This window comes from Homo sapiens, chromosome 1, assembly GCF_000001405.40.
Source record: "Homo sapiens chromosome 1, GRCh38.p14 Primary Assembly".
Classification (NCBI taxonomy): domain Eukaryota; kingdom Metazoa; phylum Chordata; class Mammalia; order Primates; family Hominidae; genus Homo; species Homo sapiens.
Genome location: NC_000001.11, coordinates 36702475 through 36714847, shown reverse-complemented (window position 1 = coordinate 36714847; position 12373 = coordinate 36702475). Strand labels below are relative to the sequence as shown.

The 12373-nt window shown below is 48.3% G+C and overlaps 2 annotated features.

Annotated features, from left to right (window-relative positions):
- Positions 4905–5689: an enhancer, noted in NCBI's record as "H3K4me1 hESC enhancer chr1:37174760-37175544 (GRCh37/hg19 assembly coordinates)". NCBI's record gives its function as "activates a minimal SCP1, AML or CMV promoter by ChIP-STARR-seq in naive H9 embryonic stem cells {active_cell/tissue: H9 hESC(naive)}" and the evidence as "EXISTENCE:reporter gene assay evidence [ECO:0000049][PMID:30033119]".
- Positions 10950–11039: an enhancer, noted in NCBI's record as "active region_761". NCBI's record gives its function as "activates an Ori minimal core promoter by ATAC-STARR-seq in GM12878 lymphoblastoid cells {active_cell/tissue: GM12878}" and the evidence as "EXISTENCE:reporter gene assay evidence [ECO:0000049][PMID:35858748]".

The window sequence follows — 12373 nt, the reverse complement described above, 5'->3', positions numbered from 1 at the left end:
GTAGGTAGTCTTTCATGTCTGGCTTCTCTCACTTAGCACAACGTTTCCAAGGCTAATCCATGTTGCAGCACGTATCAGTACTTCATTCTTTTTACTACTGATGAGTATTCCATTCTGTGGATAGACCACATTTTGTTTATCCATTCATCATTTGATGGACATTTGGATTGTTTCTACTTTTTGGCTATTATGGGTATTGCTGCTATGAATATTCGTGTACAAGTTTTTGTGGAAACATATGTTTTCAATTTTCTTGGATATATACCTTGGAGTGGAATTGTTGGATCATATGGTACCTCTATATGTTTAACTTTTTGAAGAACTGCCAAACTGTTTTCCACAATGACTACACCATTTTGCATTCCCACCAGCACTGTATGAGGGTTCCAATTTCTCCACATCCTTGCCAGAACTTGTTATTTTCCACTTTGTTTTTTATGAAGCCATCCTAGTGGGTGCAAAGTGGTATCTCATGTGGTTTTGATTTTCGTTTCTCTAATGACTAATGATGTTGATCATTTTCTCATGTGTGTATTGGCCATTTGTAAATCTTCTTTGGAAAGATGTCTATTCAAATCCTTCACCCATTTTTAAATTGGGTTGTTTGTCTTTTTGTTGTTGAGTTGTAATAGTTCTTTACATATTCTGGATACTAGACTCTTGTCAGATATATAATTTGCAAATATATTCTCCCATTCTGTAGGTTGTTTATTTACTCTCTTGATAGTATCCCTTGATAGACAAACATTCTTAATTTGTTGAAGTCAGTTTATCTAGTTTTTCCTTTGCTGCTTGTGGTTTTGGTGTTATAATTAAGGAACTGTTGCCTAATCCAAGATACTAAGATTTATACTTTTGTTTCCTTCTAAGAGTTTTTATAGTTTTAGCTCTTACAGTTAGGTCTTTGCATTTTGAATTCACTTTTTTATATGGTGGGAGGTAAGGGTCCAAATTTGTTCTTTTGCACGTGAATAATCAATTGTCCCAACACTATTTATTAAAAAGACTATTCTTGGCAGGGCACAGTGGCTCACACCTGTAATCCCAACACTTTGGGAGGCTGAGGCCGGCAGATCACCTGAGGTTGGGAATTCGAGACCAGCCTGACCAACATGGAGAAACCCCATCTCCACTAAAAATACAAAATTAGCCAGGCGTGGTGGCACGTGCCTGTAATCCTAGCTACTTGGGAGGCTGAGGCAGGAGAATTGCTTGAACCCAGGAGGCGGAGGTTGTGGTGAGCCGAGATTGCACCATTGCACTCCAGCCTGGGCAAAAAGAGGGAAACTCCATCTCAAAAAAAATAAAAAAAGACTATTCTTTCCCCCATTGAGTGATTTTGTCACCCTTGTCAAAAATCACAGATGTATGGGGTTGCTTCTGGACTCTCAATCCTATTCTATTGATCTATGTGTCTGTCCTTGTGCTAGTACCACATCATTTTGATTATTATGTCTTTGTAGTAAATTTTAAAATCAGGAACTGTGAGCTCTCCAGCTTTGTTCTTTCTTAAGATTGTTTTTGGCTACCTGGAGTCCCTTGCATTTCCATAGGAGTTTTAGGATCAGTTTGTCCATTATGATGGAAGAACAAACTAAATCACCTTCAGAGAAAGATCCCAGAGTCCTCTTCTCTCAGACTTGAGCTCTGGCAGGAATTTTAGAGAAACGGTTGTGGTTATGTTTGGTTATGTTCTTTGATGTTGGATTTGAATTTGTCTTTCAAAATTGAAGCACCACGGCCCAACAAGTGCATGGCTAACTGATCAAGGTTACAGATGTTGGATCCAGACTGCCAGGGTTTGAATCCTAGTTCTGTTACTTACTAACTATATAATCTTGAGCAAAATAGTTATTACTCTGTATTTCAGCTTCCTTGTGTGTAAAATGATGGTAAATATTGTACCTACGTCATCAGATTCTGTGAGAACAAAATAAGAGAGCACGTGTGAAGTGCTTGCAACTGTGCCTGGCCTTAAGGTCACCCGACCTCATATCCCAACAAGTCTGGATCCATTGCTCACCAATGTCTCAGTGGGCAGTATCTTATCAATCTGGAGCGTTTGACCCTGTTCACTCTCCCCTATCACAACTCCTTCCACCCTAAGCTTTTCATCACGCCACATAGTGAATCAGTGATCGATAAATGCTAACTACTACTGTCTTCTAGTTTCTTTTATAAATATCAAGAAGAAAGTACTGATATAGTGCTTATTCTATGCCAGGCATGGTTCTTAGAACTTTACAGTATTTACTTAATCTTTCTAACAATGCTTTCAGAAGCTAATACTATTATCATCCCATTTTACAGATGAAATTACTGAGGCACACAAAGTTACACAGCTAAGAAACAGCAGAGCCAGGATTCAAATCTATGCAGACTGGCCCCAGAGCCTGTGTTATATTAGTAATAGCTGCACAGGCAGAACTCTAATCCAAGTTGGGGGCATGAAACCAGACCTGCCAGCCTGTCCTGTCGGTCTTAAATCAAACACGAGCTGCCTCCTCTACACTTCCCAGACTCTCTGTCCCTGGGCTTCATGCTCTGCGGCGGCCAGTGCCATGTTCCTCCTAAGCCTTCTTCCTCCCAAGCTGCTCCAAGCAAGCAGGACTCACACCATAAAGTGTGGGGCCACCTTGCCCAGCTGAGCTAAGCCCTAAAACTGTGTCCCTAAGAATCACAGAAGGAGGAAGGGAAGGAGAAGAAAGAGGAGGAAGGGAAGGGAGAAGATGGCCGTGTCATAGACATAGACACCCAGGACATAGTCACCCAGGACAGTAGTCATAGACACCCAGGACAGACAACCAAATGGTGTGAAGTCCCTTGAAATAAAACCCCAGGGGATTTTATCTCCCGGCTCATGGTTGACTTGAGATTGCTAGAGAGAATTTGGGCTCCTCTGACATTTATTCCAAGCTTAGGACAGAAATATTAGAAATTAAGAGGGACCGGAGAATACAGGATTAGAAACAGTCCCCAACCTTTGGGAGCAAGTGTTTCATCCCAGTAGAAGCAAAAATGCAAAAACAATTCCAAGCTCCTTCTCACAGCTTTCTGTTTCTCTCATTTCCATCTGGGCCCAGACTCCCTGCGCCCCACCCTGCCCCCAAATACTCCAGCTATGCCTCTCCTGGTAAACACAGTCAAGCAGACAATTGGGGCAGCTTCCTGCTATGTGTCAATGACAGTTCCTTAACCCTGCAGGATATGGTGACTGAAACCCCTGCCTCCAGTGGACTCCCAGTGAGCCAGGGAGAAGCTGTGGACCCAGTCACTTCCATTCTACCCTACGACTCTGATTCACTTTCTCCTCTGTCTTCATTCACCAAAATCTGCAAGCCACTTTTCTCTTTTTTCCTTTCTTTAAAAAAAAATAAAGAAAGAAAAAACACTTCATCTATTATTTCAGCAGGCAATATGGGGGGACCTGCCAAGTTGATAGCAATTCTTGGTGCTAATAAAGTGTCAATTAAGATTGATTGTGCTGCCGAGAGCTCTGAGAGGCTGGTGGTTTATGCTAATGTTTTAAAAGTCTATTTCATATGCCTTTATGTTGAGTCGTTTCATTAGGTTTATTAAGAGCCCAATTGATACATTTCTTGTTGACTCCAAATATTCCTGAGGTGATTAATTCTGAACAATGGGGTTAATTAGTCTGCAGACTTTGGAACACTTCCTCAGGCGGGAGCTTAAGAAACCAGTTTACAGGGAATGTAATCTCCAAAAGAATTACGTTCCTTTCTTCTAAAGGAATGGGGAAGAAAATTCTCCCCAGGGAAGAAAGGATGGCTGTGATCTCACGGAGAGTTAAATGAGTGTTAAACTCCAACGAGTCTCTGTGGGTTGTTTTTGTTGTTGTTTTTTTTTTTAGTGTCCCCTTTTTCTACTTTCTGACTAGTAGGTAAATAGCTTGAATTTGGCATGTGGGTGTATCTGGGGACAGGACACGTGGTCCCATAAGAAGAGTCCAGTCAGGAAAGTAGAAAATGGGGATTCTTTTTCCTGCACCCTAAATAGATGCATGACCACCCTCCCCGCAGCAGAGCCTTTATTCCTTCATCTTGGGGCCTCATTCCTTCATCTGTAAAATGGGGACAATGACACCTGCCCTCCCCCAGCACTCCAAGCTTCCGTGAGGTTGAGACGAGATCACACGTGTGAAAGCCCTTTGAGAATAAAACCATTTTCTTTTCTTTTTTTAACCTTTGAGAGGTTAAAAAAAAGGGGACCCATTTTAGAAGTGGGCTTTTTTACACTCTTTTTTTATATTATTATTCCTTCATGAAAGGGTTTCTTCTTGTAGCTGGGATTTTTCATCTCGTGTTAAAGAGAGAGAGAGAGGGAGAGAGAGAGTTTTAAAAATAGCTATTTTAATGAAAAGAGCCGCTCCCCTGAAGAACTGGGCAGCCCTTTCTGCAGGCTTTGCTGCCAAAACTCACGATCCAAATTGATTTTTTTCCCCTCTTCTTTAAAGGTAAGTGATGAAATACTGTGGGTTTGAAAGGGCTGACATTTGGGGTAGCAATTAAACTCAGCCCCATCTAGCCGCGTGGCAGCTGGTGGCGGGCCGGCTCGTTATGGCGGAGAGGCAGGCAGAGGATTACACGGTGGGCAGAGCCGGCTCTCAGAAGAGCTCGGGCCGGCTGTCTGGAGCCAGGTAATTAGATTTAACAAGCTGGCCTGTCCCCTTCCTTCCCCACCCACTCAGGGCAGGGCAGCCAGGCCCTGGGGATCCAGCTCACACCCCCCCGCCAGTGAGGCACCCCGCAAGTCCAGGATCCTAATCACTGCAGTGATGGACGTGGGGGATATTAATGTTGAGTTGCTAATGACTATAACAGAGGCAGCAATAGTTAGCAATTCATGGCAGATGGAGATGGCAGGGCCTGCTGTATCATTAGAATCTGCCGAAGGGTGAGGAGCCTCCGACAGGGCATGGGATGGGATGGAAATGTGCAGCTCAGCAGGTCTGGGCTGGGGTGTTTGACACACGTGGCCCATCCCTGCCCTCGTCATGTGCTTCCTCAAATACAGCTATAACAAGTCACACTTCCAGCATGTTCTTCTCAGACTCCTCCTCCAGGAGGACTTTGTGATCTCCTCATGGAACCCTGAGGACCAGGCTGGCCCGGAGGGAGTCGCCTGTAGAGAGTGGGTTTCACAGCCCTGAGCTGGGCTGGGCATCTTTCTTTTGTTCTGCTCTCCGGTGACTCTGACATGCAGCCAGGACTGGGGACATCCAATCTAGAGGCGGGCCCACGGTTCACCTCAGTATCCAGACTTGAGGAGGGCACAACACCGAGCAGACCCCGGGATGTCTGTGTCATAGGCCGAAAGGGCCCGTGCTCACCCAGGGGCAACAAGACACGAGGCAAAGACAACCCATCTGTCCACTATTGTCTCTCAGCAATGCCTCCCCACTCAGAAGGCATCCAATCCTTCCCAGGGGCAGCAGGATCAAATCCAGTGCTTTAGCTGGGCATTCGAGGCCTCTGGAATTGGAGGAATCGGGAGCCATGGATCCCAGTTCTGAGCTGTCCAATTCGCTGTGGAGCACTAATGCCCCTGCCCCTCTCTGAGTCTTGGTTTGTTCATCTGTGAAAACAATGAGTTGGCCACATTGAGCTCTCCAGCCTCCCTGGCCTGAGATGCCAGAATTTCTGCAAATCTGCTCTTCCAAGGAACCTCATACATCAACCCACATGCCTCAATGCCCACCTCTAGGTAGCGCCCCCTCAGCCTGCCAACCTCCACATGAGCCTTACCCCTGGCATGAAATGCCTCTGTCTCTGCTTGTTGAAATCCTGACCCTCCTCCGGGCCCAACCAGCAGGTAGGCTTCTTCCACAAAGTCCTCCAGGGTGCCCCAGATAGAAGCCCTGTCCTTGCCCTGGGTACCTGACTCGGCTGTCTTCCAGAATGTCAGAGGTGATGACTGGTGAGAATTGCCAGTCCCTAGTGTCAATGGCAATTGCAGAGCATCTGGCGCTCCAGGGCTCCTCTCAGCCATGCTCTCATCGGTGGACCCTGCAGGGAGTCACTTGGGCCACAGGCACCCATTGCACAATGGGACAATGACGCCCCACAAGGTGAACGGGCTTGCCCAAGGTCATACGGTTACTAACTGTCAGAGTCAAAACATGGTCAGACATCTGACTCTAATACCCTAAGTCCAGGAATCCCCTCTCACTGCCCGGGTGGTTCTAGATACTATTAACTGGTCAGCTTAGGGGTCTTCACAGATTGTGGCCCCACCCCCAACACACATGCCATCAACAAGTTCTGCTCAAGTCCTTCCTCCCAGGAACTCGTTCATCGCTGGACTTTGTCCCAGGTCTCTGAATGGCAGTTAAGACCCCTTGTCACTGAGAGGCATGAGGGACAAAAGTGCCTGGCTGGCCACGCGTGGTGGCTCACACCTGTAATCCTAGCACTTTGGGAGGACCGAAGCAGGCGAATCACTTGAGGTCAGGAGTTTAAGACCAGCCTGGCCAACATGGTGAAACCCTGTCTCTACTAAAAATACAAAAATTAGCCAGGCATGGTGGTGGGTGCCTATAATCCCAGCTACTCAGGAGGCTGAGGCAGGAGAATCGCTTGAACCCGGGAGGCTGAGGTTGCAGTGAGCCAAGATCGCGCCATTGCACTCCTCTCCAAAAAAAAAAAAAAAAAAAAAAAAAAAAAGCTTACGAAGCAGGTGATCACCGACCTCACCAGCACCAGCAGTTTTCCAGAGAATAGGTCATTGTGAACATACTCAGATTCCAGCCAGGTCAGGAAGCCGGGTGGGCATGTGATGGGGAGAACTGAGAAGGAGGCCAGGCGACAATGAGAGAGTTGAGGCAGGGAGAGCCAAAGGGGACCCAGGCAGGAAGATGGGGGGCCAACAAGACAAGTTCAGCCCATCCCACGTGCTGGGTCCCTCACAGATGTACTCCTAATGCTCTTCACAGAGGGGAAGAGAAGATGGAGGAAGGGCAGAAACTTGCCAGTCTCTTAGAATCTATTATCTTCCCCACACTCCCTGCCCTAGGAGACAGAGCTGGTCCAGTGAGAATAGAGATCCCATTTCAGAGGACTCCAGGAGATAGGGTGGGAATAAATGAAGTGGTGTTGCAGAACAGTCCCTAAAATAAATAAATTAAAATCAGAGGAATTAAAGATGGCCAGTTTCAATTCTCTCCAAGCCACCAGCACGTGTTCAATGAATTGAACTCTCACTTCTAGCCCTTTCAAAGGAGGCTATTTCTCATTTTCTTATTTCCTAGTCAGTGATGTGGGAGTCTAATCACTGTTCTCTCAACTTCTCTATATCATCTGGGCAGGGAGGAAGATACTAATACTTAGAAATCATTTACATTTTTACTTTACAGCCAGGTCTTGCTCAACCTTGTGGGGTCAGGAAATGCAATCCTACATGTGTCCAGGGGTATTGAAGTAGAAAGATCCCTATTGACGCAATAGGGAATGATTCATCTGATGGGAGACTGGGGAGAAGGAACGTGCAAGGTGGATTGGCCCCTGAGACTACCCCCTGGGAGAGACCTGCTGTTGTCCAGTTCTGCTTGTTTCTGGATGCTAAGTGTGGAGAAGGAGGTCTTGGAGGCCCAGTTATGACCACACTTCCAAGCCACATTCTCCATGACTGTAGCCAGGAATCCCCTCTCACTGCACAGATGGTTCTAGATAGTATTAACTGGTATTGATAGTATTAATGGTAAAGTTGATACTTTGAACTCCATCTGCCCCATTCCTATGTAATTGTTTAGTTGGTCCCTAATCAGCTGGGGGACGGGGAGGCGAGTCAGAGTATGATTAATTATCACCCCAAACACTAAAATAAATAAAATTCACTCTCTTGTTTCCTCGTCCACTCAAGGTAAGACAGGAACAAACAAAACTTGAAGAAATGTCCTGTACTGATAAATACGGGTGGGAGATAGGAAAGGGAGAGAGACAGGATGGGAATAGAAAGATGCAGACTGATGTTGGATGGGAAGGGATGGGGTGGGGGAATCAGGCCAAATGGCAGAGGCTCCTCCGTGCAAAGCTAGATTCTCATCCCAGCACACACCCTCACAGCCCATGTCGCTGGCCAGACTGGCTACAACCAGGCAGCCCCTTCCCCGATTGCTCGGCAGGTGCCAGAGCCAGGAGAGAGGGAAGGAAGTGGATGGCTCTTCAGGAGGCTGGCATAGGTCCCAAGCAATCTGTTCCCAACTTCCTCCTGCGTGGGTGGTGGCAGCACGTCCCCAGCTGGCCCCCGCGCCTCTCACCAGCCATCAACGCACCCTCACTCTCTCCTTGTGTGTGTTGTCAAATCTTCCCAATATAGCAGCCTGGAGTCTGTCAACAGTTCTGTTCCGTGCTCACTTTCCCTCATCAAAGGATGCCAAGTCTGCTGCCCCCTCCCCAGTGGGTGCATCTCTCCTCGTGCCTCAACCTCAGCACCGGCAAGTGGAGACCCCTGCCATCTCCTGGGAAGAAGTTTGCTTGGAGAAGCCCTTCCAGCTTCCATGGTCTGGCTTACCTGGCACAGGATGGGACCTGTGCCAGGGTGTATTTGAGTGATATTAAGGAAGAGGAATCCAGGAGACTTGATGATTAACTGGATTTAGGGCAGACGGGGAGTGGAGCTTGAGGGCAATGCTCAGATTTCTGACTTGAATGATTTGGGGGAGATGCCTTTCACAGAGAGGGCAGACCCCAGAGAAGGGGCAGTTTGGGGGAATGGAGGAAGAGTGGACAGGTTGAGAGGTAGGGAGTGTGAGCTGCCTGCGGGCTTTCTAATGGGGATGTTCCAGATGCAGATGTAGATTGGAGCTCAGGAGATAGACCTGGGTGTGCAGAAGGTGCCCAAAGGCAGGATGCAATCATCCGCAGGAAAAGTCAATACACACCCATTTGCTCCAAGGGCATTCAGCAATGGGGAATTCTCAGTGTGGCAGCCCCAGGGACTCACTTTACAGAGCTCCCCTGCGCACCCTGCAGTGTGCTGCAAGGCCTGGACCCGGGTGCCGCCTGCTGGATGACCTCCATCCCCAGATGTCTATGCTTGTGTCCCAGCAGCTGCCTTCTTTTTTTTCCTGTTCCAGCTGCCTCTGTTCCACCCTCCAGAGAACAAAGAGTGGCCTGGTTTGGGCACCAGGAAACCTGAGTCCCAGTCCTAACTCTGCTGACTGACTTTGGGATTTCTAAACAAGTCTTTGTCTCTCTCTCTCTCTCTCTCTCAGTCTCCTCAACAGTAAAATGGAACCAAAGGCTGGTAGGGTCAAACAAGGTGGTGCATTTGAATGCTTTACACATGTAAGGAATCTGGGTAAAAGCTGCCCGAAGTTCTGGCCAGGTCCCTCAGTCCTGTCTCCCCACGCCTCCCCAACCACCAGACTCGTAGCAGATCCTGCACCCAGATGTGTGTGGCACCACTCTCCCCATCCTTTGTTGCCTCCTCCTCTGGGGGCTCCAGGACACTACTCGGATCTCCTAAAATCTCCACAGATCCCCCCCCCCGACCCCGTCATCTTTGACTCACCAGATAACCCGGCAGGTCAGAAGACACCACTAATAATGTTCAGGTGGTGACATTTATTGCAATGCTAAGCAGCCCCTGCTTAGCTTTCAGGGCTATCAGGAAATGTCAGGCACACAGTGAATCGCTCTATACAATGCATCTTGCAGAACATTTGCAACAATCTCTTATTTGCTGATCCTAATTGAGGCCTCGCTGAGGTGCTCAGACCCCTCCTCTCCTCTCCTGCCCTTCAGCTCAGGCACTCTCTCATGATGACCCCTTCCTTGAATCCACTTTCACCAAGGCAACCGGCAGAGAGGTGAATTTAAGATGGAGAGGCACAGCCAGACGCGGTGGCTCATGCCTGTAATCCCAGCATTTTGGGAGGCCGAGACGGGCAGATCACCTGAGGTCAGGAGAAACGCCTGGCCAACATGGTGAAATCCTGTCTCCACTAAAAATCCAAAAATTAGCCGGGCGTGGAGGCGCGCGCCTGTCATCCCAGCTACTCAGGAGGCTGAGGCAGGAGAATCGCTTGAACCCGGGAGGCAGAAGTTGCAGTGAGCCGAGATGGCACCACTGCACTCCAGCCTGGGTGACAGAGAGAGACTCCGTCTCAAAAAACAAACAAACAAAAAAAGATGGAGAGACACGCTGCGGTCCTCCTAGGACACTGTCCCTTCATTTCAGGAAGAGTAGGGGTGGGTGAAGTTGCCACCCTGATTTCTGAAAGTCAGTTCACAAATCAGAGACATAGGCTGGTGCCGTTGTGCCGAAGGGAAGGTGTTGGACACCGCCGCAGGCTGTGTTGATGTGAATGGCGCCCATCTATTCCTCCACAGAGAGAGCCCTTCACCTGGAGAGTGCTCCGGATGCAGCCCTGGCTGCCAGTCAGAGGACGCCACCCCCAGCCACAGGGGAGAGCATGACTGCACTACGCTGAGACTATGGAAGGTCCTCCCCTGAGGTTTGTCCCATCAGAACTGAGGGAAAACAACAGATCACAGAACATCTGAGCCAAAAGTTGCTGGTGGCAGTGGTTCCGGTCCCTGGAAGGAACAAATCTGCAGGCGGAAAGGATAAATCCAACACGGAGAGAGGAGGGAGATGGTCCTGATAGCATTGGAGTTCCTGGTTGCAACTGTCCCTGAAACCCGGGCTCCGTGAGCCATAGTCTTCTTTTTGCCTTGTCTGGTTCAAATTGAGTCTGTCACTTGGAACCACCATGTTGTCACACTGTTACCGACATGTTCTCTCCACTGGCCTTCTGGAAGCAGTTCCCACGTCTTTGCTGTCTAATCCAGGCCAGTCCAGAAAGTGTGGCCTGGAGATCTGGGGCAGAGCAGACCCAGTGGCCACGCGTTCCACCCAGGGCCTCTCACTGCAGCTGCAGCACCACCCGCCCTCTTTGCCAGCACCTCGTGATTCCTGCTCTGCTGCCCTCTGCTGCCCCCAACTGGCCACAGGCATCGCTGCGCTCAACTCCTCCCGCCCCTCATGGGTTGGGGCCTTTTATCACAGGGACTCGAATCAGGAAGCAGAAGAAGCCGCAGGTCCGAAGAGTAGCAGCCTCTCCCAACTCCAGTCCCAGGTAAAAAAATGTATCTCCGGAAATGGGAACTCGAGAAAATCTTTACTATTACATGTGGGTTAAAAACACTCTTGTCTTCCCTAGGGGTGCGAATACTCATAATGTACAATGGGAGTTGCTGCTGCAGATATTTTCTTCCAAGTGTGGACTCTAGGCAGGGTTCCCAGGAGGCTGGAGCAGTGGGAGAGAAAGACGGAGACCGGAGGAGAGAGCCTGGAGAGTTTAATAGAGAAACTAAGTCAATAAAACAAGAGGAACTATGGGGACAGCATAGTAATTCGGGATGTAAAAGAGCCGACGAAGAAGTAGGATTGAGCCCCAAAGAGCAGCGCAGCCTCTCTGGGCTCATATTTTCCATAAATACTATGCGAGGAAAGAACCATTTATGTGTTTATAGTTTCCAGGATACTTTAGCACATAATAGTGCATTTGATTTCACACCACCTGAGACAGTTGGGATGTGTGTTCCCTCCAAATCTCATGTGGAAATGTGACTCCCAATGCTGGAGGTGGGGGCCTAGTGGGAGATGTTTGAGTCACGGGGGTAGATTCCTCATGAGTGGCCTGGCGCCCTCCCACACTAACGAGTGAGTTCTCACTCTGTTAGTTATCGCGAGATCTGATTGTTAAGAAGAGCCTGGCACCTCCTCCTCTTTCTCTTGCACCCTCCCTGGCCAGCCAACGCACTTGCTCCGCCTTCACCTTCTGCCATGAGTAAAAGCTTCCTGAGGCCTCACCAGAAGATGATGCGGGCGCCATGATTGTACAGAGTGCAGAACCATGAGCCAAACAAACCTCTTTGCTCTATAAATTATCCCGTCTTGGGTATTCCTTTATAGTGACACAAAACGGACAAACGCACCTTCCAATATGGTAATACTGTTGTATTGACACTTTTTTTTTCTCTCACAAGGAAATAGATATTATGAGAGATTTAGTGGCTTGGCTGAGGCGTATTTTTTACAAACAGCGGAGCCTAAACTCAAGCCCAAGTCCAACTCCAAGTCAGGGGCTCTCTGCCTCCACGTGGGTGAGGCTGTATTGTACGTTGATCTAGCCATGCAGGCTACAGTCACACCACCTGAATGTGCCTGATCTCATCTGATCTAACCATACAAAGTGAAAGCACGGGCTTCTCCAGCGTCAGGGAACCAGGGTGCAAAATTTGGCCCTCCTATTTGCAAGCTGTGTGCCTTTGGACAAATTACTTAACTACTCTGAGTCTCCCACATGGGTGTGTCTCATGGGGTTGTTTTAAAAAGCAAACATTAG